Source organism: Homo sapiens, chromosome 19 (genome assembly GCF_000001405.40).
Source record: "Homo sapiens chromosome 19, GRCh38.p14 Primary Assembly".
NCBI lineage: Eukaryota > Metazoa > Chordata > Mammalia > Primates > Hominidae > Homo > Homo sapiens.
In genome coordinates this window covers 57651476-57679250 of record NC_000019.10, presented here as the reverse complement: position 1 = coordinate 57679250, position 27775 = coordinate 57651476, and the positions used below count along the sequence as shown (strand labels likewise).

Sequence of the window (27775 nt, the reverse complement as noted above, 5' to 3'; positions counted from 1 at the left end):
CCGGGCACGGTCACTCACGCTTGTAATCCCAGCACTTTGGGAGGCCGAACCACTGCGGCCGGCCCCATCTCTTTTTTTAAAAAAGGATATCAACATTATGGATTCATTCATTTATTCAACAGAAATTTATTGGTTCTTGGAAATGTTCCACTTTCCCAACCACTTGGAATACTTTAGTGAACAAAACTGACAAATTCCATGCTCTCCTTAGCCTTACATTTTAATGAAGCAAGACAATAAATTGAAAGCATAATCAGGAGATTATATCTTATATCCTAAGTAGATAAATACTATAGGAATATACATACTTGCATACATATTTATACACATTATCAGACCAGCAGCTTAGGAAGCTTCTGGTGTGGAGGGAACACTTGGCAGGGTAATTTTCTCATGAGTCCTCATATGGCGGTGGTATGTGGATGACTGGCGGTAGCTTGTCTTACAAAAGGGACATGTATAAGGCTTTTCTCCTGTGTGGATTCTCTCATGAGACCGCAGGTTGGTTTTGTGGCTGAAGGACTTTTTACACATGCTGCATGTGAAAGGCTTCTTTCCTGTGTGAATTATCTGATGCACCCGTAGGTCTGATATCTGGAAGAAGCCTTTTTGACACTCGGGACAAACAAATGGCCTCTCATTCCTGTGTCTTCTCTGGTGAGCTAATAAGTGACAGAGATACTTAAAGACCTTGGGGCATTCTTCACATTTGTATGATTTTTGGACTCCATGGGATCCTTTCTGATGTACCTCACATGTGGAATTTCCCTCATTGCTCTGGTGGGTAAGGGCAGACTCAGGGGAGGACTGCTCTGGTTGAGAGATACACCCTGCTCCCATCACCATAGGGACACCTTGGAAAGTGATTCCATTTATGGACCCTTCCTGAGATCTAGCAGTGACTAGCTCTGCTCTTTTTGAGTTGTATGGGTTGTCAGAAGAAACACCTCCCTCTTCAGGCCTAGGACCGTTCTCTTCCTGGATGATGATTAGGGAAACTATTTGATTGCCTTGATTAGTAATATTTTCATTTACTCGAGTAGTTTTCGAAGAACTGTTCCAGCCATCTTGTTCATCTTCATATCCTGTGAAAATAGACACTCAATGAAGTTGTACTTAAGAAGGGGTCCACATAGAACACTCCTCAGTTGTGCAGATTCACCTGACTTACCTTGTCCTGTTTCTAAGGAAGTATCTTGGGAAGTCTGGGAGGGTGTCCCCATGTTTGCTTCTCTTGTGGTTTGGGCATTCACTTGTTTTGTGAGATGAACAATGACATCTCTTAAGGGCATATCCTCAGAAAAGAGAGCTTCCTGTCCCTGCATGTGGACGTGGACCTGTAAAGAAAGCCAGATCACTGTTGTATCTGAATCTGTTGTGTAACAGAAGACTTTTTGGAAAAGTGGTCCTTAACAGGCTCTCACAAGCTCCCTCAAGTATTGGCTATCACATATTTTGTCCACCATCTCTGATGGTGTTATTCTTGTTACTACAAGCTCTTATGTTTAATAAAGTCACATGGACATTGAATTTACAAGTACTGAATCATTTCCCCTAGGAAAAATTCAGGGTTAGTTTCCTGTGAGCTTCTGGCTACATTATTTTTGTCAACTGATCAATACATGAGTTTGTTTTATGTGTGTATATGTTCAAAGACACCCCATTTAATATATATTATTGATTAATCCTGAACTCAGAGGATCCAACACATGTATTATCTCCATAATACATAGCAACTTTCCTGCACTTAGGAAGACTAGACAGTGTTTCAGCATTTTACTTCAGTGTCACTTTAAACAACAAAGTTATCAATAAAAAGCAAAAAAAAAAATGTGCCACTAAATAGACTGTGAAAAGGACACTTATTTACACTGTAGGAACCAAAATAGGAAGTGAGGTTGTGGCCTTGTTCAACCTCACCTGGAAACATGCACCTAAGGTAAATCAAATATTTTACCACCTGCACATATCTGAAAATGACGGAGAAGATGCCTCAGGTATTTATTTTAAGCTTACAAATAAATTTTAGCAATTTTGCAAATATGGGCTCTGAGAATAAGGATCTACCGTAATTGCTTCTTTAGAATGTCTTTCTTGATTAGAGTTCCCTGACAGAAGAACAAGCTCTTGTCAAGACATTTCTTCCTCAACCTTGATGTCTTCATTTAAATGTCAATTTCAGGCTGGTCTCACACCTGTAATCCTAGCACTTTGGGAGGCCAAGGCAGGCGGATCACTTGAGGCCAGGAGTTCGAGACCGCCTGGCCAACATGGTGGAACGCTGTCTCTATTAAAAATACAAAAATTAGCCGGCCTTGGTGGAGCACGCCTGTAATCCCAGCTACTCTGGAGGCTGAGCCACGAGAATGACTTGTGCCTGGGAGGCATAGGTTGCAGTGAGCTGATATCATGCCAAAAAGTCAATTTCTCAGAGTCTGCCATTATGCAGACTAAAATTAAGTTAATCAAACATCAATATGTTTGGCTCCTATATGTCCTACAGAATAAACAGATATATACCTTTTTGCTTTTTTTCTTGAGAACTTAGGACATTGAAGATTATTCTTTGTGAGAATGGTGGGAGAGTGTGAGCTGACTAATAACTGGACCTCCAATAGCTTCTCTAACTTCCAGACAACTCTAACTGACTGTGATTTATTCCTTACTTTCCTTTGTCTCTCATCCCAGAAGTTAGAACCCTGTACTCACTAAGGCAGGTGGATTTATGCTGTCATCAGTCAGGTCTTCTATGAATCTCTCCAAGTTTTTGCCACTTGATTTCCATTTCTCTTTCACACTGGCTTTGTCATTGCAGTGGCCACCAATCATAAACTGCTCCAGGACTAATAGAGAAATAATTTCATCCTTGCTGTGCTTTTCTGGTTGCAGCCATGAGTGAAAGATCCTATAAAGTCTTTGCAATTCCTGCCTTGCATATGAATTATTGCTGTCTTGAAATGAATTGAGCACCATTCTTGAGAACTCAGAAATCCCTTCTTCTCTCTGAACAGCAGGTCCTTGGCTTTGTTGAAACGCTGAATTTTCTGATCCAAGATTATTCTCGGATGGTTCACACTGAAATATGGTTCTTAGATCTAAAGCCATTCTTAGCAATAATTCTCAGAGAGACTTTACTTTGATGATTCAGTCTCTTGCCTTGTGTCTCTAGGGATTTGTTTCAACAGTTGGTGGATTCTTTAAAACTGCAAGCTAGAAATAGAAAAGAGATGAGTAATTAATTGCACCACTGGCATAATTAAAGACAAATCAACCAAAAAGTTAGGCCTACATGGCTCTATGGATGAATTCAAAGAAATAATTATAACTTAACATAAACTCTCCCAGAGCATATAAGAGGAAGCACTACCCACTTTAGTTACTGAGGTCAGCACTTCCTGATAACAAAATTTTACAAATACATTAAAATTATCCAAAACAAAATATTTGAAAATAAAATCTACTCACATATACATCGCAAATGGTGTTCATTTCCAAAATGCAGGAAGTTTGGGTTAAAATTCAAAAATCAATGCAATTTACTTCGTTAACGGGATATGGATACAAGAACATAATAAAATCATCTCAATGAATGCATTTAAAATGTTTAAATGCCAATGTTTATTCCTGAAAAAGGCACTTAATAAACTAGAACTATTAGGAAATATCCTTGGCTGGGCACAGTGGCTCACTCCTATAATCCCAGAACTGTGGGAGGCCGAGGAGGGCGGATCACTTGAGGTCAGGAGTTCGAGACTAGCCTGGCCAACATGGTGAGGCACCATCTCTACTAAAAATACAAAACTTGCCGGGTGTGGTTGCTCATGCCTGTAATCCCAACACTTTGGGAGGCTGAGGCAGGTGGATCACCTGAGGTCAGGATTTCGAGACCAGCCTGACCAATATGGTGAAACCCCATCTCTACTAAAAATACAAAAATCAGCCAGGCATGATGGCATGCACCTGTAGTCCTAGCTACTCAGGAGGCTGAGATGGGAGAATTGCTTGAGCCCGGGAGGTGGAGATTGCAGTGAGTCAAGATTGCGCCACTGCACTCCAGCCTGGCTGACAGAGCAAGACTCCGTCTCAAAAAAAAAAAAAAAAAAAAAAAAGCCACACGCACACACAAAACTTAGCTGGGTATGGTGGCACGTGCCTGTAAACCCAGCTACTTCAGTGGTGGAGGCAGGAGAATCCCTTGAACCCGGGAAGTGGGCGTGGCAATGAGCCAGGATCATGCCACTGAGCTCCTGCCTGGGTGACAGAGTGAGACTCTTAAAAAAAAAAAAAAAAAAAACTTGATGTGAAAAATATTTTATAAAGTAGTTACAACAAAATTTATTGTTAAAAGTTTTCTGCTTGAGCTATCATCTCTATGAAACATTGGATTGCTCCCTAACCAGTGAAATAAGGAAAGAAAATATTTCAAACATATTTATAGAGTCTTGATTTTGTTTACAAAGAGTATTCAATAAATTTGGTGGGGATGCAAATCAGTTAACCTCTATGGAAAACAGTATGGAGATTTCTCAGAGAACTAAAAATAGAACCATCATTTGATCCAGCTCAGTATCTACTCAAAAGGAAAGAAATCATTATATAAAAAAAGACACCTGCACTCATATTTTGATTGCAGCACTAGTCACAGGAGCAAAGTCATGGAACCAACCTAAGAGTCTACCAGTGGTTGACTGGATAAAGAAAATGTGAAATACATACCATGGAATATTATGCAGCCATAAAAAAGAATGAAATTAGTCCTTTGCAGCAACATAGTTGGAGCTGGAGGCCATTATCTTAAGTGAACTAACTCAGAAACAGAAAACCAAATACCGCATGTTCTCACTTATAAGTAGAAGCTAAACAGTGGGTACACATGGACATAAGGATGGAAATAACAGATGCTGGGGACTCCAGCGGGGGAGTTGGGAGGGAAATGGGTATTGAAAAATTACCCATTGGGTACAATGTTCACTATTTAAGTAATAGGTACACTAGAAGTCCAATTTCCACCAATATGCAGAATACTTTTGTAACAAACATGCACATGTACTCCCTGAATCTAAAATAAAATAAAATATTCACCAAATATTAGCCTAGGTGAATTTAGGGAGATGTCTATTACAATGCCAATAAACCAAAATGAACTGAATATTGTAATATTGTGTTATCACAAGCAGTTGAAATTAAAACAAAAAAACTCTTTTCACTGTGGCTCACACCTGTAATCCCAACACTTTGGGAGGCCGAGGCGGGCAGATCACTTGAAACCAGGAGTTCAAGACCAGCCTTGCCAACATGGCGAAACCCCGTCTCTACTAAAAATATAAAAATTAGCCAGATGTGGTGGTGCATGCCTGTAATCGCAGCTACTCGGGAGGCTGAGCAAGGAGAATGGGTTGAACTTGGGAAGCAGAGGTTGCAGTGAGTTGAGATTGGGCCACTGCACTTCAGCTTAGGCAACACAGAAACTCTGTCTCAATAATAATAATAATAATAATAATCATCATCATCATCAGAAAATAAAGTATTAGAAACTGAGAGTAGAAGGGTGGTTGCCAGGGGCATGGGGTGGGGCATATGGGAAGATGTTGATCAAATGGTGCAAACTTGATTTATTTTGAGACAGGGTCTCCGTCTGTCAGACAGGCTAGAGTGCAGTGGTGCCATGACAGCTCACTGCAGCCTCAGCCTCCTGGGTTCAAGCGATCCTCCTGCCTTAGCGTCTTGAGTAGCTGGGACTACAGGCACGCACCACACTCAGCTAATTTTTTAAAAATTTTCTTTTCGAGACTTGGTCTCGCTATTTTGTCCAGGTTGTCTTGAACTCCTGGACTCAAGTGACTGCTCCTCACTCTAGCCTTTCTGGGATTACAGGCGTGAGCTACTATGCCTATGGCAAACTTTCATTTATAAAATAAATATGTGGCCGGGCACGGTGACTCGCGCCTGTAATCCCAGCACTTTGGGAGGCCGAGACAGGCGTATCACTTGAGATGAGACGTGGTGAAACCCTTTCTCTACTAAAAATACAAAAATTAGCTGGCTGTGGTGGTGCACACCTGTAATTCCAGCTACTCGGTAGGCTGAGGCAGGAGAATCGCTTGAACCCAGGAGATGGAGGTTGCAGTGAGCCGAGATCGTGCCACTGCACTCCAGCCTGGGCGACAGAGTGAAACTCCATCTCAAAATAAATAAATAAATAAATTAATTAATTAAATGTCACCATGTCCTTCTCAGGCTAGGGAAAAAAAATGAATATGCTCTGGAGATCTGATGTACGGCATGGTGGCTATAGCTAATATATATTGTATGCTTGAAATTTGCTAGATTTTCAGTGTTCTCATGATATAAAAAAGATAATTGGCTCACCCCTGTAATCCCAGTGCTTTGGGAGGCAGAGGTGGGCATATCGCTTGAGGCCAGGAGTTCAAGACCAGCCTGGCAACATGGTGAAACCCCACCTCTATTAAAAATTCAAAAATGAGTTGGGTGTGGTGGCATGCACCGGTAATCCCAGCTACTTGAGAGGCTGAGGCACAAGAATCACTTGAACCTGAGAGGTGGGGGTTGTAGTGAACTGAGATTACGCCACTGTACTCCAGCTTAGGTGACAGAGCAAGATTCTGTCTCAAAAAAAAAAAAAAAAGATAACTATGTGAGGTGATGAATATGTTAACTAGCTTGATCGTGGTAATCATTTTGCAAAGTATACATATATATAGAGAGAGAAGTGTCACATTGTACACCTTAAATATATACAATCTTTGTCAATTATACCTCAATAAAGCTAGGGAAAACAAGAAAAAGAGAAAGAAGTGAATGAAATAGAAAAGACAAGCCAGAATCCATACAAATGACACCTTTCTCTGGCTGAAAACTTATTAGGCACAGACATCTGCAAGGCCACTACCAGCTACACCCACTGTGTTGTGAAAGGATACATTCCTTAGGAAACATTCTTAGCACCTTTTCTGCTTGAATTTTTTTCCCATTAACAGTTACCATTCCTTAGAACTTTACTGCTTTAACCAAAGCTACTATTTTATGTTTATCTGTTTTTACTCCCTGTCCTTTCCTACTGATGTTTAGGATTCAGAAGTAAAAGTGAGTTTGCATTGCTTGAAATTGATTTCTAATCCCAAATCAGATTATCTGGACAACTAGAGACACACCCTTTGAAATCCTGAATGGATAAAGAATTTAATCCCTTTTCTGTTAATATATCATTGCTATTTTTGTGTTTTTTCTCCAATTTTATATATGGTTAACATTTCAAAGATTTGTGCAATTTTGAAAAAAGCAAATTTCATGCCATAAAATCAGAAAATGGTAGGAGTAATACGTGGACACACAAAAACCTAACTGATTTCTGTTAGTTAATGTTATTTCCTGCTTTGTGTTAATCTCATCTGGTCTGATTAGACCAGATCTGCTACCCTGATCGCATCAGTTAATAAGGCAGAGGTGATCCTGGTAAAATCTCCTAGGAGACAATGGAACACATTCTTGCCTTTCCCTAACCCAGTTGTCATAATGCTTCCAGTCAACGTTTATAAAATGCTAATCTGCTCACATCATACCCCACTCTACTCTCTGGATGGCTCCCCTTTGCCCTCAGGGAAAAGCACTGAGTCCTTGTCCTACGAGGCTTTCCTGGGCCAGCTCTACACTTCTCAAGCTCCATCTTAGGTGTTGTGGCTGGTTCTCTATATCCAGGGACATTGGTCTCTCTCTCTCTCTTTTTTTTTTTTTTTCCTGTGGAACCCATGGCTTCCCCTTCATTTCACTTCCCTCCAAGTTCTCTTTTTGGATTACCCACCCTTTCTCCCCTATGACACACAGACCACATGTTCACACTTGGAGACATGCACTCCGTCCCACATAGACAAGACTGCAAAGTATTATGGCTTATTTCCCAGAACCTGGGAATTCAAAACAAGGCTACCGGAGCTCTAATCTGGAGTCTGGCAATTACAAACTGTGACGCAGGCATGCTACCCGTCAGGTCTGGGTCTGTATCCTGGGCTTTATGATCTCTAATGACACCCAGCTACATATTTCATATAATGCAATACAAAGGAATTACTAAGCTGGGCACAGTGGCTCACATCTGTAATCCCAGCACTTTTGGAGGCTGAAAGTGGGCAAATCACTGGAGGCCAGGAGTTTGAGACCACACTGGGCAACATGGCAAAATCCTGCCTCTACAAAAAATAGAAAAATTAACCTGGTGTGGTGGTGTGCGCCTGTGGTCCCAGCTGCTCAGGAAGCTAAGGTGGAAGGATCACTTGAGCCTGGGGAGGCTGAAGCTGCAGTGAGCTGTGATTGGGGCTACTAAACTTTAGCCTGGGTGATAGAGATCTTGTCTCGAAAAAAAAAAAAGAATTACTAGAACATAAAGTCATACGATAGACTTTTTGAAGAAAAATCTTCAGTCACACCAGGCCTTTATACAGAGTTCACAACATCAAGCCCTTTTGGGTCAGAGCTGTTGTAACAAAAGACCATTCCCTACACCTGGGAGACCCCCATATCTCTGTAGTTAGGAATTTTCCTGAAATAGCTATGCCTACATACACATGTATACACACTCAAAGACACAAAATTATGTATACACACTCAAAGACACAAAATGTATACACACTCAAAGGCACAAAATTTTCCTTCCATTATGGAAGCTTACCTCCTTGGTTGACTGGGTAATCCCGGGCCGAACACTGAGCTGATGTGTGACTAGCTTTCCACACTGGGTTTATCTGATGTGCCTCCTAAGGCTGCTCCCTTTTATAGGGGCTGGGATCAGTGATTGATTTAAAGACGTGATTGGATAACACTTGTCTGTTGATTGAATTACTGATGGAATCTTCATCCAGCCCCAGCTCCATGTCAGTGATTGATTTAAAGACGTGATTGGATAACACTTGTCTGTTGATTGAATTACTGATGGAATCTTCATCCAGCCCCAGCTCCATGTCTCTAATACAGTGTTCTATACCATCACTGGTCCTGGGTCAACAGGTCATAAACAAACACATTAATATTTCTGCAGGCTAGGTGCAGTGGCTCACACCTGTAATCTCAGCACTTTGGGAGGCTGAGGCAGGCAGATCACCTGAGATCAGGAGTTCAAGACCAGCCTGGCCAACATGGTGAAACCCTTTCTCTACTAAAAATACAAAAATTAGCCGGGCATGGTGGTGGGCACCTGTAATCCCAGCTACTTGGGAGGCTGAGGCAGGAGAATTACTTGAACCTGGGAGGCAGAGGCTAGAGTGAGCCAAGATTGCGCCACTGCATTCCAGCCTGGGAGACAGAGCAAGACTCTGTGAATCCCTAGCCTGAGCAACAAAGCAAGACCCTGTCTCTACCAAAAATAATGTTAAAAATGTTAGCCAGGCATGGTGGCATGTCTGTGTAGCTTGTTTGAGCCAGGGAGTTCATGGCTACAGTGGATTATGACCGCCCTACTGAACTCTGGCCTGGGAAATGGAAGGAGACCAAGTCTCTAAAAAAAAAACAAAACAAAACGAACAAAAAAAAAACCATGCCTGTAATCCCAGCACTTTTGGAGGCCGAGGTGGGCGGATCACGAGGTCAAGAGTTCGAGACCAGCCTGGCCAATATGGTGAAACCCCATCTCTACTAAAAATGCAAAAATTAGCCAGGCGTAGTGGCGCGTGCCTGTAGTCCCAGCTATTCAGGAGGCTGAGCAGAAGAATTGTTTGAACCACAGAGGCGGAGGTTGCAGTGAGCTGAAATTGTGCCACTGCACTGCAGCCTGGGCGACAGAGGTAGACTGTCTCAAAAACCAACAAACAAACAAACACACACAAAAATACAAAATCTGCGGTAAAATGTAACAAGGTCCACATTAAATGAAAATATAAAGACAGGCTGGGTGTGGTGGCTCGCGCCTGTAATCCCAGCACTTTGGGAGGCCGAGGCAGGTGGATCATGAGGTCAGGAGTTTGAGACCAGCCTGACCAACATGGTTAAACCCGGTTTCTATTAAAAATACAAAAATTATCTGGGCGTGGTAGCATGCACCTGTAATCCCAGCTACTCAGGAGGCTGAGGCAGAAGAATTGTTTGAATCCAGGAGGCAGAGGTTGCAGTGAGCCGAGATTACGCCACGGCACTCCAGCCTGGACGACAGAGCGAGACTGTGTCTCAAAAAAAAAAAAAAAAAAAAGGAAAATATAAAGACAAACGTTAGTCTCACAAATTCTGATCAAGTTTTATTATAAATTACTCATAGAAACATGACAAACTTTTGCTCAAACTTTTAAGTTTTCAGAGATTTATGAATTACAAGGGTGGCAGAGGGCAAGGCTAATGCTGTGACTCCTGTGCCAATTCCAGGCTGGTGAAACAGAGGGGGCCCGGGACCCAGAGAAGGCATTCCTAATCCATCAAAAAGATGACAGGGGTTGAGACTAGGATTATATCAGTGGAAAGGGAGAAATTGGTGCATATTTTATATTGAGAAAGCATATGATGTTTGATAGACTTAACATGAGGCTTGAGAGAGATGGAGGAGTTAAAATGGTGAGAAGCGCCTGGTCACCTAGTGTGGTGGAAGCTGTGCCTTCTTCCCTGCACTCTCCCTCCCCACTTTCCACCCTCATACAGGCTGAGGCTTTGGTGGAGTTGAGAACGTATCGAAGGGGTGGGAGCTAATTACAGCCATGTGTTTCATCTGCTCCATCAGGCATGCAGCCTCTTGGGGCTTAGATTGTCCCCCTATCACTGTTGGGTACAGAGTTTGAATCTCCTGGTACTCCACTGATGAAATGTCTGCTTGACTTCCCCACATTAGGAATTATGTTCTGAATCCTCACATTATAAGACTGTGTACTAGTCCATTTCTCCAAGGAGTTTCATCCACATATACTCCATACAGAGAAGTATCCCTGCTCCCATCAAGAGCCAATTTTCCACTGGTGGTTTAGGTCCTGTCACCAACTATGTCATTAAACCAACTGTGACAGGAAAATTGGCTCTTGATGGAAGCAGGGATACTTCTCTGCTACAACAATGAAAAATGGGCTGGGCGCAGTGGCTCATGCCTGTAATCCCAGCACTTTGGGAGGCCGAGGCGGGTGGATCACCTGAGGTCAGGAGTTTGAGACCAGCCTGGCCAACATGATGAAACCTCGTCTCTACTAAAAAAATACAAAAATTAGCCAGGCATGGTGGCAGGCACCTGTAATCCCAAGTACTCGGGAGCCTGAGGCAGGAGAATCACTTGAACCTGGGAGGCCGAGGTTGCAGTGAGCCAAGATCGCACCACTGCTCTCCAGCCTGGGCGACAGAGTGAGACTCTGTCTCAAAAACAAACAAACAAACAAACAAAAAACAAACAAAAAAAAAACAATGAAAAATGTAGACAATGTGAGTACCACTGGAGGCCAGTTGTTAATTTGTGGTGGGTTGAAAGCATTTCCTGTCTGCTTCTGCAGTCTCAAGGAGTTCCTTGAGCTCTGTAAGGAGCTGTAAGGAAAAGGTTTGGGGAAAAGCTGGCAATTTCTGTTTGGAGGAGGTTATTGGATTTTTGAGTTCAGATATACAGCCAGCTGTTGGACATGCTGGTGTGTAACTCTGGGAGCAGTTAGACCTGAGGCACGATGATATCAGTAAGAGTAGTAATAGCATCAGGGATCATAATAACTAACCTTTAAGCAGTCAGGGCATATTTGACTCTGTTCTCAGTGCTTTCTGTATGTTAACCCATTTCCATCACAACAGTCCTGTAAAGTAGATCCTAAATAACTCCATTTTAACATCAAAATAACAGAGGCACAGAGAAGTTCAGTACCTTGGCCAGTGCTACATAGCCTGTAAGTGGCTGGGCTAGGATTTGATACCTGGCTCCAGAGTGGGACTCTGAATGCTACATTAAGAAGGCAAAGACACACAGCCACTGTGTAAAACCAGCAGCTTTCTAGGGAATGGGCTAATGGAGGAGTGAAGGGCATGAGCAGGAGGATTTATCCTTGGGGAAACACAGATGGTGGAGGAAATGACCTGGTGATACCCCAACTTAGGCATAGAATAAACAGGCACAAAACAATAAAAATAAATGTGAAATCCACATAGTAATTTAATCAAATAAGGATATTACAAAGACAACTATCAAATGCTTTTCTGATCAATTGGGAAGGCAGGTAGTGCTGCCTTTGGTAAAAATAGATGACCCGTTTACATCCAGCATCATCTCAACTTGTGTCTGGTGAGTATCCCCGCTCCAGTGTGAGTGAGGAAAATAACCTTTGTTTCCAAGAAGACAAAGCCAATCCGCCTCAGTATGTAGGAAACAGTGATTTCAATTAGAATAATAATAATAATAATAAAAACCTGGTAGGAAAATAAACAAAACTGTTAACTTTCTATTTTTTTCGAGACAAAGTCTTGCTCTGTCGCCCAGGCTGGAGTGCAGTGGCACGATCTTGGCTCACTGCAACTTCCGCACCCAGAGTAGCTGTGATTAAAGGCATGCGCCACCACACCCGGCTAATTTTTGTATTTTAGTAGAGACGGGGTTTCACCATGTTGGCCAGGATAGTCTCAAACTCCTGATCTCAGGTGATCCGCCCACCTCAGCCTCCCCAGGTGCTGGGATTACAGGCGTGAGCCACCACACCTGGTGACTTTCTTTTCTTTTTTTTTTTTTTTTGAGAAAAAATATTTAGTCAATTTATTTATTATTTATTGATTTTTGGTTGTTGCACCTACTTTAATAACAACTTCAAAAAAGGAACAACATTCATCCGGTTCTAAATGTCTTTATGAACGCAAAGACTGGGGTCCCCTGCCAGCTTCCGAGGCAGCCCTGCACCTCCCGTAGGTGGCCGCACTTGGACCGCACCACTCCATTAGCTAAAAGCTACAACAGTCGTAAAGAGAAGGAAAGAACTGGAGAGCCAGCACGCGAAGCTTATCCAATGCTTCCAGTCATACAAGCAAGCTGCAGGATCTCATGGAGGTGCGTGGATCACCCCGTGGAAATTCTCCAGGGCGCATCGAAGCTTAGCATGTTTAGTGGAGACTTGGACAAAGCCCCGAGTCTGTACAGGACCTGTAGGAACCATGGCAGGCATCGGCTGCTTCATAAGGATCTGATATGGTTCCTTTTTAAAAAGCGCATTCTTCAAAAGGCAAACTACCCAATTTCCTTTTAAATATGAATACAATACAACTTATAATACATACACTTGTCAAAATTGTGTGCAAAGAACTGCCAAAGTGACTTTCTCAAATTAAAAAATTGTCCTAAGATGATTTTCTGTAAACCTACTTGGGCCTCGCAAAGATATTTTAAGTATCAGTATTATTATTGAGACGGAGTTTCACTCTTGTTGCCCAGGCTGGAGTGCAGTGGCACGATCTCGGTTTACCACAACCTCCACCTCCCGGGTTCAAGCAATTCTCCTGCCTCAGCCTCCGGAGTAGCTGGGATTACTGACGTGGGCTGCCCAGCTTATTTTGTATTTTTAGTAGAGATGGGGTTTCTCCATTTTGGTCAGGCTGGTCTCGAACTCCTGATCTGGTGATCCACCCGCCTCAGCCTCCCAAAGTGTTGGGATTACAGGAGTGAGCCACCGCGCCCGGCCTTGGATTAATTTTAGAAAAAGGGTGACTTTAGGTCAAACACACATTTACAAAAGAACAATGATTCACCCAGGAGCTGACAGGTGCAGACTGATGTCAGTGAACTTGTCTGCTGGCTGCTTTTGTATGAGCTTTAAAAAAAAAAGTATTAAAATTTAAAATACAAAATTTGACACCAAGTGTAAACATATTTGTGTCTGCAGACACTGGAGATACCAGGTGCCTCCCTGTATTTAGCAGCCTACACAAATGGTAAGGGGTGTGCTGCGGGATTTAGCCTGCTGGAGTGGCTGGGATGGGAAGAACCGCCAGAAGCCAAGTAGATACACTCCAGGAAAAGTATCAGAACTGAAGTTACAGAAAATGGAATCCTAGCAGCACAGTGGCAGCTAGATTCTTTTTGCTTTTGTCTGTAGCTTGCATTAGCAGAGTGCAATATGCAATTACTATCCACTTTACTATTCTAATCGTGCAGAGATCCCAAAAGGTAAAAGACCCCTATGCTTCCAGCCAGCAGCGGCTTTGCATGAGGACTGCCAGGCTCTCAGACCCCACATCCCTTGGCCTTCTTAGTGGGGAGAGCTCCCAGAATGCCGCTGGCTAAAAGCCTATTTTGCCCCTGGTCAGTCATGGAATAGCCCAGTTTAGCCTCATTGTTAATGAAGGACATCAATCCCAGGCCGGTCTCCATGAGGAGGGGGCGCTCCACGACCAGCACGCGTGCGCTTGTCCTGGAAAAGGACTTTCCTTTTTGGCGTTTTTGACCTTGGATTCACAGAGCCTTGAAGCTTTTCATCTGGCAGAGTTGCTGTGTTCTCATCCGCAGCAGCCATAGCGTGTTGTATGAAATTGGCACAGGGTACGTTTGTGGACCAGGGATTCCATCTGTTTAAGAAGGAAAGGCGACTTCGCTTGCCCCACTGAATTCGAATCCCAAAACCTTCTCGCTTGTTGAGCGATTTAGGGGGAAATTGGAATTCTCCGCAGGAGACGGCATGCCATCCGGGCCGCCTGCCAGCCCTGGAGTCAGATGAAGCCGTCTTTACCGCTGAGCGCTCCCTGCCCCGTGACTAGCTCCCGCCGCTGCTTCTCACTGTCCCAGGGGCCCCTCGGCCTGCAGCCGCAGCCCCGGGTCTCGCTGTCCTCCACGGCCGCACGACCGCGCCGACTCCTCCCCCGCCCCGGGTGCTGCGGGGCGGGAACACCAAGGATTCCCTGACCTGGGCGGCGCTGGGTCCCAGACGCTGAGCGGCCACAGCGCCTAGAGCCGCCCCGCGCCGCGCCCCAGCTCCTCGCCCGCCGCCAGCAGCGTCCTGGGGCTCTTGCTCGCCGAGTCCACCGAGCCCCGCAGCTGCGGCATCGCCGCGCCCGACCCCGACCCCCGACCCCTCACTTTCATCTGCCCAGGAATTTCTTTTCCCTCCCTCCCTTCCTCCCTTCCTCTCGTCCTCCCTTCCTCCCTTCCTCCCTTCCTTCCTTTCTCTTTTTCTTTTCTCTTCTTTTTCTTTTTTGACGGAGACTCTCTCTGTCGCCCAGGCTGTACTGCAATGGCACGATCTCTGCTTACTGCAACCTCCGCCTCCCGGGTTCAAGCCATTCTCCTGCCTCAGCCTCCTGAGTAGCTGGGACTACAGGTGCCTTCAGCTAGCCCGGCTAATTGTTTTTTGGTGTTTTTAGTAGAGACGGGGTTTCACCATGTTGGTCAGGCTGGTCTCGAACTCTTGACATCAGGTGATCCGCCTGCCTTGGCCTCCCACAGTGGTGGGATTACAGGCGTGAGCCACAGCGCCTGGGCTTCTCTAGTAATTTCAAAATCGTTTTATTACAATTCAATAAAATTTAAACAAATCAAAATTTAAAGCATGCAATGAAGAGGATTTGTTCAATAAAGATAAATTCAATTACCAATAGCTTTTTTTTTTTTTTTTTTTTGAGACAGGTTGTCACTCTTGTCACCCAGGCTGCAGTACAGTGGTGGGATCTGGGCTCACTGCAACCTTTGCCTCCCAGGCTCAAGAAATCCTCCCACCTCAGCCTCCCGAGTAGCTGAAAGTAGCTGGGATTACAGGCTCATGATACCACGCCCAGCTAATTTTTTTTTTTTTTTTTTTTTTTTTTTAGAGACATGGTTTTACCACGTTGTGCAGACTGGCCTCGAACTCCTAGGCTCAAGTGATCCTCCCGCCTCGGCCTCCCAAAGTGCTGGGATTACAGGCGTGAGCCACTCGCCCCCAGCCTATAGCATTTTCCTGACATAAAGGTCTACCATTATCTTAATGGTATAGAAAGGAAATGTGTGTGTATGTGTACATAAATGTAAATATTGGGACTTATTACCTAGTAATAAAATAGTATTAGTTGAAATATAGAAGTGATTTTTTTTTGCCTCAGGTCTTAGCTTTAAATAACATGTGGGATTCAAAGTGAAGAATAACAATCCCGGGTGCGGTGGCTCACACCTGTAATCCCAGCACTGTGGGAGGCCGAGGCGGGCGGATCACTTGATTTCAGGAGTTGGAGACAGCCTGGGAAACATGATGAAATCCAGTCTCTACAAAAAGTACAAAAATTAGCTGGAAGTGGTGGTACGTCCGTAGTTCCAGCTATTGGGGGTGGGGGGTGAGGGGCAGAAAAGGGGCTGAGGCAGGAGGATCTCTTGAACCCAGGAGGTTGAGGCTGCAGTGAGCTGAGATCGTGCCACTCTACTCCAGCCTGGGTGACAAATGACAGCCTGTTAAACAACAACAACAACAAAAAACCCAAAGTAAAGAATAGTCTTAGGCTGGGTGTAGTGACTCACGCCTGTAATCTCAACACTTTGGGAGGCCAAGGCAGGTGGATCACTTGAGGTCAGTAGTTCAAGACCAGCCTGGCCAACATGGTGAAACCCATCTCTATTAAAAATACGAAAATTAGCTGGGCGTGGTGGCTCAAGCCTGTAGTCCCAGTTTCATGGGAGGCTGAGGCAGGAGAATCACTTGAACCAGGAGGAGGAGGCTGCAGTGAGCTGACATTGTGCCACTGCACTCCAGTCTGGGCAATAGAGTGAGACTCCCTCTCAAAAAACAAAAACAGACAAACAAAAAACCAAATCTCTCAGCGGTAAAAATATTTGTATATTTTTACAATCTTGGATAAGTAAGCCATTAATATGTAAACACTGAAAAAAGGCAATTTTTAATAAAATGAAATATTAATGAAAAATAATTGCAAATTAAAATAATCTAAATAAGATATTTAAATACATAGAATGTAAAAGAGAAAGTTATCAATCACTTTACTATTGTTAATAGCCAGATAAAAGAAAAAAATACAACATATAAAAAGATATAATCCTGAGAAAAAAATAAAAACATAAAATGTTTGGCTCACATTCAAATGAAATTGAAATGACTTATTTTAATTGTAGCTTGTATTACTTTGCTCAAACTTTGTTATGGGTTAAATTCTTCTGTAAGAAATTTTATGTTTCTTTTATTTTCTATCATAAACTATAATTAAACATGATTTACAAATTTACAATTGGCAGTTCTTTTTTTCTTTTCCTTTTTTTTTTTTTGAGACAGAGTCTCGCTCTGTTGGCCAGGCTGGAGTGTAGTGGTGCAATCTCAGCTCACTGCAGCCTCTGCCTTCCAGGTTCAAGTGATTCCCCTGCCTCAGCCTCCTGAGTAGCTGGGACTACAGGCGTGCACCACCACATCCAGCTAATTTTTTTATTTTTAGTAGAGACGGGTTTTATCATGTTGGCCAGGCTGGTCTTGAACTCCTGACCTCAGATTTTCTGCCCACCTCAGCCTCCCAAAGTGCTGGGGTTACAGGCGTGAGCCACCGCGCCCAGCATGGTAGTTCTTTAAAGTAAGCTAAAACACTTAAAGATGTCAAAATTCTGAGTACAGAATATTCACAGACTTGTATTTATACAGGTCTACTTTTATCACTCACTTTTACCTCAATAGCATTTTTAAAGAATCTCTAATTTTTGTTTCTGGCACATTTTATTTAGGCTTTATAAAAATAAAAAGTTTTCCTTTTTGTGATTATAGTTTAGTAGTTTTTATTACAGTAAACCACTTATGCCATTGAATAAATAGAGCAAATGGCATTACTTTTGGGAGGAGAAAACTCCCTGTTGATAAATATATACATCAACCTGTGGAGACAGACGTGTTGGAGTTGAAAGCATTGATTCTACCAGTAACAATCATGTGTGATTTATGGTCACTGATTAGCACGTTACATGAAGGGAATATGGAGAAAGAATTTACTCAGCAGTAAGTCAAGCAGAGGTGAGTTAAGGGAGATCTTGCAAAATTTATGTAAATTAATGGAAATCTATCTGGAAGGATCCTCACCACTTGTAGACAGTGTTCCTTCCTTAGGTTGAGGTTGTGGAAGAAGGAGGGGTATAGTGTGTCCCAGTGAGTATTCACCATAGACACATACGTTTATTCCAAATATTCATTAAAATATTTTAATATTAAGAGAAGTTATGAAATTACTGGTAAAATAAAAATATAGGGGATCAATGAATCAAAAGAGGAGAATAACTGGAAAACTTTTGGAAGAGAAATCTTAAAATGAATTTAAGTAACAAAATGTAGGTCAGTAGACATAGTGTGGGCATGAATAAAGTTTCTCTAAAGTCCAAACACTGTTGCTGTGGTTATCAATCACACCAATTCTTCAAAAATCGTAGTAACTAGTAAGGAAGGCTCAATTTTATCCTGATCTGAAGGATTCTGTGTAGACAGAAGAGGAATCTACACTGGGGGCCAGGGGAGGTAAAAATGCCCTTCACTCACAGCCTCTAGTCAACACTTTTGTTTGCTAAAAATCCACTTAAACTAGGCAAGGAAGGGAGGAGGGAGGCAGAATAACAGAGGAGACAGGAACAGAGAAGCAATTCAGAAACTTTGAGGATAGAGAAGAGTACTGTGAGTACATGAGAATGAGAATGTCAAGACACTTTTAGAAATATAATTATCTGTTTGCAGGGTGAGATACTTAGGAATTTTTAAGCTCCATGAATTTTTCATGGCTGAAACTCACAACCCTCCTCTACTCCCCCATATTTATCTGTAAGTAAAATTTGCATTATTATAAATTGGATAATTGAGACTCATTTAAACGGTAGAAAAATGTTCAGAGTCTTCTGCTGATGACAGAATGTGGAGACATTACAGATTCCAGTTTGCACAACCTGCTGTTTCACAGAAGAAATGCACATATCAGCACCTCTCTCACAGACACCAGGTATCTGCACAGTACCAAGAGCTTACCATTGTCATCTAACTGTTCTTAACATGTCTGTAGCATCAAGTCTTTATCTGTGGCATATAGACAGGATGCTATGTGTGTCTAGTTTTCTCAGCAAATGACCTTCCTGCTATATAAACTCTTTCGTGTTCCAAACCCAGAAATGTTTTACAGAGAACAATTAATACTGAATTTTCTGAGATAGTTTCCATCTAAGGACCTGAAACTTACTTGAAAAGCATGAGTTACTCACTTGGCATCTGGTGTCAGAATGATGGAGTGACGGCATCTGTACAGGTGTGGAAAGGACATCTGAACCTGAGATAAAGATTTGGAACTCCCTGATCTCACCTTTTTGCTGGGAAGTGGTTATCACTTCACCTGTAATTGCAGCGACCATCTGTAAGGAGAATGGAGGTTATTTGCGAAGAACATTTGAGTATTGTGTATATTACTGAAACTATTAATGGTGAATCATAAAGATATCTAATAGGAATGACAGAAGTAGCTGAGGAGCACCCTATGTAGGAAAAAATGAAAAAGTAAAAATAAAATTGATCTGTAGGGTAGGTAAGCAGAGGACAGCAAGATCTAAGGAGAAAGAGAATGAAGGTGAGAATATGGCTCTGCTGGATTCCTGGCCGCTTTGAAGGTTTTGGTAGCAGAATATAGAGCTGTGTGTGAGTTTTTTAGTCATCCCATAGAACAAAGGTAACTTGAAGGTAGAGACAGTGAATGAATTAGACAGAATTTCTGGAGAGGTAAAAATGAATAGGAAATTGGTATGTCATATTTCTTCAGTGTTTCAAAAACTATTTATTGAGACCAGGTGCAGCGGCTCCCACTTGCAATACCAGCACTTTGGGAGGCAGAAGCAGGAGGATCCTTTGAACCCAAGAGTTTTGAGAGTTCGAGGCTGCTGTTAGCTGTGATCATGCCACTGAACTCCAGCCTGGACAACATAGCAAGGCTCTGCCCCTCAAAAAAAATTATTGCATATTTTTTGTGGGTCAGGTCATTTTTTCATTATATGGGGTATATCAACACACAAAATTAAAAAGAAAATTGCCTACATGGAACTTAGACTTAGTTGATAGAAACAGACAGTAAGCAGTAAGCAAAGCACCCATGTTATTCGGCTGATAGTGTATTAGAAAATGATGGGTCCTATAGAGCAGGATACAGCTGAGAAGTAAAGTTGGTAAGGATGGGGTGAAACAGTAAATCAGGTGTTCATAGTAGGACTTACAGTGAAAATGACATTTAAGATATATTTTAAGGGGGCGAGGAACTTAGCTTTCTTTCTTCTTTACAGATTATATATTTCTTGTCTCACCTAATTGCATGAGACAGGACTTTCAATATAATTGACTATATGTGCAGACAGTGACCATCCTCCTTTGGTTTCTGGTCCCGAAAATATTTTAATAATGGACCATGAGTTATTGTATTTACTCTAGGATTTTGCAGATGTTCTTTATAAGATTAAGGAAGAGTATTTTTGAGAGCAATTTGGGAATATATTACTTCTTTTTTTTTTTTTTTTTTTTGAGACACAGTCTCACTCTGCTGCCCAGGCTGGAGTGCAATGGCATGATATTGGTACACTGCAACTTCTGTCTTCTGGGTTCAAGTGATTCTCCTGCCTCAGCCTCCCAAGTAGCTGGGATTACAGGCACGTGCCACCATGCCTAGCTAATTTTTGCCTTTTTAGTAGGGACGGGGTTTCGCCATGTTGGCCAAGCTAGTCTTGAACTCCTGATCTCAGGTGATCTACCTGCCTCGGCCTCCCAAAGTGCTGGGATTACAGGCCTGAGCCACTGCACCCGGCAGGAAGTATATTACTTCTTGAGCCGTGAATATTTTTGGTGTGTATTATTATTTTCCTTAAACAAATTTAGTGCAGTATAATACAAATAGGATGATCCCCAATTTCCAGTGTATAATTTGATGAGTGCTGACAAATATAAACAGCATGTAACCACTACCACAATCCTGATAGAGAAGGTTCTCCTCACCCTATGTACTCTTCTGCCCTTTGCAGTCCGCCCCTTCCTCCTAGGCCCAGATCTGAGGATCACTCATTTGCATTTTGCCACTTGAGTTTTACCATTTCTAGATTTTTATCTGAAAGAAATTTTACTCTGTATAGACCTCTGAGTTTGGTTCCTTCACTTGTGCTTTTGAGATTCAGATTAATGTTTTTTTCCCTCCTTGACATTTATGAGGAATATTCTATTTATAAATGTAACACAGTTACCCATTCAGATGTGCATAGACATTTGTTTTTGTTTTCCAGTCTTTAGCTTTGAAGAAAATTGTTGATAACACGCAAAATCAGTTGGCTTTCTATATCCATGGGTTCTGCATCTATAGATTCAACCCACTGCAAATTGAATATTTGGAAGAAAAATTGCATCTGTACTGAACATGCACAGACCTTTTTTGGGTCATTACTCCCTAAACAATACAACTATTGTGTAGCAGCTATTTAAACAGCATTTACACTGTATTAGGTGACAATGTATAGCAACTATTTAAACAGCATTTGCATTGTATTAGGTATTATAAGTAATTTAAATTATAATTTAAATTATGTGGGAGGATATACACAGGTTATATGCAAATACCACATCATATTATATAAGAGACTAGAACATCTTCAGGTTTTGGTATCCTTGGGGGTCCTGGAATCAGTCCCCCATGGATACTGAGGAATGATTATACAAGTATTTCTATGGACACGTTTCCATCTCTTGAGGTTATACTTAGGAATGAGATTAATTTATCAAATGATAAGTGGACAACTAACTTTAATAACGGCTACAGTGTTTTCCAAATTTATTTATTTTGCATTTCCACCAGCAATGTATGAGAGCTCCAGTTTATTTCATACCTTCAACAGCTAGGTGTGATCATTCGGTTAATGTTACTCATCAAAATGAGTATGTAGTGGTATCTCATTGTGGTTTTCATTTGTAGTTCCTTAAATAGTAATAATTCTGAACTTATTTTCATGCATTTATATACCATTCATATATCATCTTTAGTGAAAAATGTGTTCAAATATTTTGCCTTTTTTTTTTTTTTGACATGGAGTCTAGCTCTGTTGCAGACAGACGGAGGGCAGACGGAGTTTCACTCTTGTTGCCCAGGCTGGAGTACAGTGGCGCGATCTCAGCTGACTGCAACCTCTGCCTCCCGGGTTCAAGCAATTCTCCTGCCTCAGCCTCTTGAGTAGCTGGGATTACAGGTGCCTGCCACCACTCCTGGACACTCCCGGATAATTTTTGTATTTTTACTAGAGACGAGGTTTCACCATGTTGGCCAGGCTGATGTTGAACTCCTGTCCTCAAGTGATCCGCCTTCCTCAGCCCCCCAAAGCGTTGGAATTACAGCTATGATATCTCACCCTGTTGCCCAGGCTGGAGTGCAGTGATTTGATCATAGCTCACTGAAGCTTCGACCTCCCTGGAATCAGTGATCCTTCCATCTCAGCCTCCCAAGTAGCTGGGGCCACAGGCACACACCACCATGCCCAGCTTATTAGCTAATTTTTGTAGAAACAGTGTTTTGCCATGTTGCCCAGGCTGGTCTTGAACTTTTGCCTATTTTTAAATTGTGTTGTTTATGCTATTTGTAGGGATGTTTTACGTATTCTGAATACTCATCATTTATTAGATAGAGGTTTCACAAATATTTTTCCCAGGCTGTAGTTGGCCCTTTCCTTTTTTTACAGGGGGTATATGGGTGAAGTCAACTTGCCAGTCCTGTTCTGGGAAATGGCCTCATGCCTGATGAGTGGAGAAAGGAGGTGGTTTAAGAGCCCCTTCAGGGGAAGTCTGACCACAAACTGGGCAGACTGGTTAAACATTCAAGGTTGGTTGTCATGGTGGTGGAGTGTGTGTAAGTTTTTAAAAACTGGGGTATGTGGTAATAACCAGCATGGAAGTGGTTGTGGATGTGGGAGGGAATAGAGAGTTCTTGAGATTTGGGCAGGATGAGTTTGTGTCAAGATAACATCAGCCTTCCCTTTGGGTAGCCCCAGTGTTAGTTTGACTTGTTCCTCCTGGGTGTATGAGGGATGTCTGCTGGGAAAATGGACAACAGTGATGGGATGTTGTGGGCCACCTGCCAGGCTGCTGAGTCTGCCATAATGTTTCCCTTGGTTATGGCATCTGTAGCTCTCTGGTGTCCATTGCAATGGATAATGGTGGCCTCTAATGGTAGTTTAGCTACCTCCAGCAACCTGTGTATCAGTTTGCCATTTACTATGCAGGTCCCTTTGGTACTAAGAAAAGCTCTTTCCTGTGAGATTAAGGCTTGGGAGTGTAGAATGTGGTATGCATACTTACAGTTAGTGTAAATATTGACCCTTTTTCCTATTGCTAGGGTGAGGGCCCTAGTTAGGTCGACTAATTCTGCCTGTTAGGAGGTGGTAGGGGATGCGACAGTATTGGACTCTAGGAGCTTGTGTTTGGCAACGATGGTGTAGCCTGCTGCAAGACATGGCTCTTTAAAGGAGCTCCCATCAATGAACCATGTAGGTGTCCCCTGTAAGGGGGTCTCTGATATGTGTCGGAAAGGGAAGGAAAGGGAATCTAAAAAGTCCAAGCAGGAGTGACAGAGTTCAGAGTCAAAGGTCCTTATAGGGAAGAGGGTGGCTGGGTTGAGAACTTTACATCTTTGGTAGGTGATTAGAAGGTTGTTTATGTAGGAGGTGTGTGTTTGTTGTAAGTAAGATAGCAGGAGGGAAAGAAGGGAGCAATGACTCATGAGTTCCTGTAGGTTATGAGAAGGTGCAATGGTAATGTATTGATAGAGGGTGAGTTTTTGAGCTTCTGAGGCCAGCAGCATAGACACACATAAGATCCTTAAACAGGGTGGCCAACCTTAGATGACTGAGTTCAGTTGTTTTGAGAGATATACAATGGCTTGTGGGGTACCGCTGAATGTTTGACAGAGTAGCCCAAGAACAAGGCCTTGGTTAGAATGAACATACAGAGTAAAGGGCTTGTTGGGGTTGGGTAGTCCCAGTGCTGGCGACATTGAAAGGGCATTTTTCAGTTTTTTGAACTGGGAGTCAATGGTACAGACTGGATCCAGGTGTTCTAGGATGGGCCCACGTGATGTGGTGTACAGCAGCTTGGTCAGCAAGTTGGGAATCCATAGCCAGAAGTATCCCACAAGGCTCAAGAAGGAAAGGAGGTTCTTTGTATGAGAAAGGGGCATATCCCGGATTAGCTTCTTCCATTGGGTTGGTATGGCCTGAATATTAGGGATTAGGATAAGTCCAAGGTAGGTAACCTGGGGTTGGGTTACTTGAGCCTTTGTGAGTGAGACCTAATATCCCCAAGAATGGAGAAAGTTTAGAAGCTGAATGATGTGTTGGATGGATAGATAGGTTAAGGGAGGGGCTACAGAGAAGGGTGTTATTGATGTATTGGAGGAGGGTGCTAGGAGCAAGGGGAAGTTTAGCCAGGTCCCTGGTGAGGGCCTGTCCAAATAAGCAGGGGCTATTCCAGCCCCCCTGTGGGAATATAGTCCATGTTAGCTGTGCGGATGTGTGAGTATCAGGATCTGTCCAGGTGAAAGCAAAAAGGCTTTGGGAGGCTGGATCCAAGGGGATGGTGAAAAAAGGTGTCCTTCAAGTCCAATACAGATAAATGAGTGGTGGAGGTGGGGGGATATGGGAAAGTAAAGTGTAGGGATTGGGGGCCACCAGATGGATGGGCACCACTGCCTGGTTAATAAATAAAAAATCCAGGTAGTTGGACCCATCAGCTTTCCAGATGGCCAGGATAGGGGTGTTGTGGAGAGATTTAACAGGCTTGAGAATTTGGGCTTGCAGGAATTTCCAACGAATGAGTTTGAGGTCTCTGAGGCCAGCTGGGCTAAGGAGGTACTGGGCTGACAAAGGAATGTAGAAGGGTTTTGAAAGGTTATTTTGTCTGGGGTGTGGTATGCTGCTATTGTTGGCTTGGAAACATCGCAAACCTTGGGGTTGACAGAGGCTAGCAAATTGGATAAGGAAGATGAGGGAGAGGAGAGGGAAGTGTCCAGTTGACAGAGTAAAATAAAAGGGGTAGAATGACAGGGGGTAAATTCTATGGAAAACTGGAATTGATTAATATATTCAGTCCCAAAATAGGGGTGGGACATTGAGGGATGACCAGGAATGAGTGGGTGAAGCAAGTGTTGACTAGGTTACATAATAGGGGGCCAGTCTGTTTATGTTTAGAGGGTATTCCATCAACTCCTAAAATAGTGATGGAAGAACTGAGGAGAGGTCCAGAATATTCTGGTAGAACTGAGTATGTTGCCCAGTATCCAACAGGAAAGACATGAGCTTACCAGAGACTGACAGTGTTACCCTGCGTTCTAAGGTGGTGATGGTAGTGGGTGATCCTGTCAGTCTTCAGTGGCCAGGCCAAGAATGCTTGCCAGACTGGGATCTGGAATGGGGGACCTGTTTGAGTTAGAGGTGGTCAAGCAGGATGAAGCGTCTTGCTGAGCACAGTCTGACTTCCAGTGTCCCTTGATACCACAGATGGGGCAAGGTTTTGAGGGCAGCCTGGGATTAGGGCAGGCTTTTGCCCAATGACCCTGTTGGCTGCACTTAAAACAGGCTCCTGGTGAGGGCTGTCCTGAGGTTGAGGATTTTTGTATGCATTGGGAACCCTGTTGTATGGCATCTGCCAGCACCTGGTATTTAGCCTAGTACCTTTTGAACTTTTGGGTTTTCGGTTCTTCCTCCCTATTGTTAAAGACTTTGAAGGCCACTTTGATTAAGTCTCTGGAGATTTTGAGGGCCATCTTCCAGTCTTTGGAGTTTTTTTCTGAATATCAGGGGTTGACTGGGAAATGAAATGTAAGTGGAGATAGATTCTGCCCTTGTTGGCCTGAGGGCTTTAGGTGGTGTATTTAATCATGGCTTCTGAAAGGCGAGAAAGAAAAAGAGCAGGATTTTCTTTCCTTTTTTTTTTTTTTTTTCTTTGAGATGGAGTCTCGCTCTGTCACCCAGGCTGGATTGCAGTGGAGTGATCTCAGCTCACTGCAACCTCCACCTACCAGGTTCAAGTGATTCTCCTGCCTCAGCCTCCTGAGTGGCTGGGATTACAGAGGCGTACCACCATGCCCGGCTAATTTTTTAGTAGAGGCAGGGTTTCACCATGTTGATCAGGCTGGTTAAGAGCAGGATTTTCATCAAGGCCTTGAATAATTTCCTTTATCTTTTCATAGTTGACTACCTTAAGAGTGGCTTTATTCATGCCTGCCAGGAGGCATGTTATCTTATGATCTTGCCTTTACCTGTCTGGGGAAGTTGGCTGATAATCCCACTGGGATCAGTTCTGGGGACAACGAAGGCCCCAACTGGGTTATGAGCTGCATCTTGGTGGTGGAGAGCATCAGTGTGAGCCTGAGCAGCTGTCCAGACATGTCCCCTGTCCTCAGGGGTAAGAGGGGAGGAGAGGATGACATAAAGGTCATGCCAGATTAGGTCATAAGATTGAGTGATGTACAAAAATCTCTTACAGAAGGAGGCAGGGTCTGTGGAAAAAGAGCTGAGTCTCTTTTCAATTTGGAAGAGGTCAGCTAGGGAAAAGGGAACATGGACTCAGACTATGCCTTCAGCCCCTGCCGTCTCCCACAAGGGAAGGACTCTGAAAGGGTTTTGGATGTGGGCATGGCCTTCAGCGGGAGGGTGTTAGGCACAGGACTGTGTATGCAGTGGAGAAAGAAGGGAGAATGGAGGATGATGGTAAGGGGGTGGAGGAGCCAGAGGGGGAGATGGAACCAAAGGAGAAGGAGGAGGATATGGTGGTGAGGAGGGGTTCAAGGGCAGAGGTTCATCGACTGGGTCAAAATCGGAGGAGGAAGGCTTGTCCGAAAGAGGAGGTGTTTTCGTGGGTCTTTTGTTGAAGAGGAGGATTTGAAAGGGTGAACAGGATTGACAGAGAGAGGACCACAAACAGAGATAAACAAAGGCCTGAATATAGGGCACCCCGGACGATTTACCATTGCATTGGAGAAAGCTTTTTAGATCACGTTGAATTTGGAAGTTCAATGTCCTGTTTTCCGGCCATCAACTATCATTGTCCAGCTTATATTGGGGCCAAGCCACATTACAAAGGAAAATAAGGCATTTGGTTTTAATGGAGTGCACCAAGCCCAGGGTTTTGAGGTTCTGGATGAGTATCTGAGAGGGGTGTCTTGAGGGGGTTTTTAGGAGCCCTGCCCCATATTGGTGGCCAGGAGGGTGAGATAGGTGTGTGGGGTGGTGAGTATCCTGATTCCAATCATGAGGAGGGATGGAGAAGAGCTGGGGCATCCCTGAAGCTTTTCACAGTCCCTTGGGGGTTGGAGCAGTGAGCATTCTGAGGACATCCCCTGAGAAGGCAGGTCAGGGTTACCCAGTGGTGACTGGGGAGTTCTCTCACCTGGCACTGGGCTTTTCTGGAAATATGAGAGGAATCCAGAGGGGGAAAGGGGGAACTCACCCAGAAATCGGAGACTGGTGTTGGATATGATGTCCAGTAATTGGAGTGATCCTTGCTGGAGCCTCCTAGTGGAAGAAGGAGAGAAAAGGGAAAGTGGTAGGAAGACGGGGCTGGGAGTGAAGGGTCTAATTAGGATCTGGGAATTCACCTGGGATGAGCTGCCGCTGCTCACTGCTTCCCAGGTTGCAAAAAGGGATTCCTCCAAGTGAACCCAAGCGTCGTCCCGGGTTTCAGAACTGAGAGCAAGGAAGGGAGAAGGAACGGAATGGAGATGGCTCTATGGCAACACAGGTTTATTGAACAAAGGCCTGTAGACGGGGACACCAGCTAGCGCTGGAGTCCACCCCTGCTTACAGATTGGGGTAATTATAGGTCTAGGCGGGAGAGGTCTGGGCTTGTTGTAGACT

The 27775-nt window shown here is 43.4% G+C and overlaps 1 protein-coding gene and 1 pseudogene across 3 annotated transcripts; both read right to left on the bottom strand.

Moving 5' to 3' along the window:
- Positions 1-98: 98 nt before the first annotated feature.
- ZSCAN4 (zinc finger and SCAN domain containing 4) lies at positions 99-27775 on the bottom strand. 3 transcript variants are annotated; one of them, NM_001384833.1, is made up of 7 exons: positions 27517-27775; positions 27369-27433; positions 19121-19267; positions 8684-9006; positions 2710-3210; positions 1172-1337; positions 107-1085 (listed from the first exon to the last, which is right to left on the bottom strand). In NM_001384833.1, the coding sequence occupies exons 5-7, from the start codon at positions 3103-3105 to the stop codon at positions 346-348; spliced, it is 1302 nt and encodes a 433-aa protein (NP_001371762.1). In that variant the 5' UTR covers positions 3106-3210; positions 8684-9006; positions 19121-19267; positions 27369-27433; positions 27517-27775; the 3' UTR covers positions 107-345. The 3 variants fall into 3 exon arrangements, with proteins under 3 accessions (XP_016881947.1, NP_689890.1, NP_001371762.1); XM_017026458.1 differs by lacking the exons at positions 27369-27433; positions 27517-27775 and having other exon boundaries at positions 99-1085; positions 19121-19789; NM_152677.4 differs by lacking the exons at positions 19121-19267; positions 27369-27433; positions 27517-27775 and adding an exon at positions 10048-10316 and having other exon boundaries at positions 99-1085.
- On the bottom strand, positions 14215-14959 carry TPRG1LP1 (tumor protein p63 regulated 1 like pseudogene 1; annotated as a pseudogene).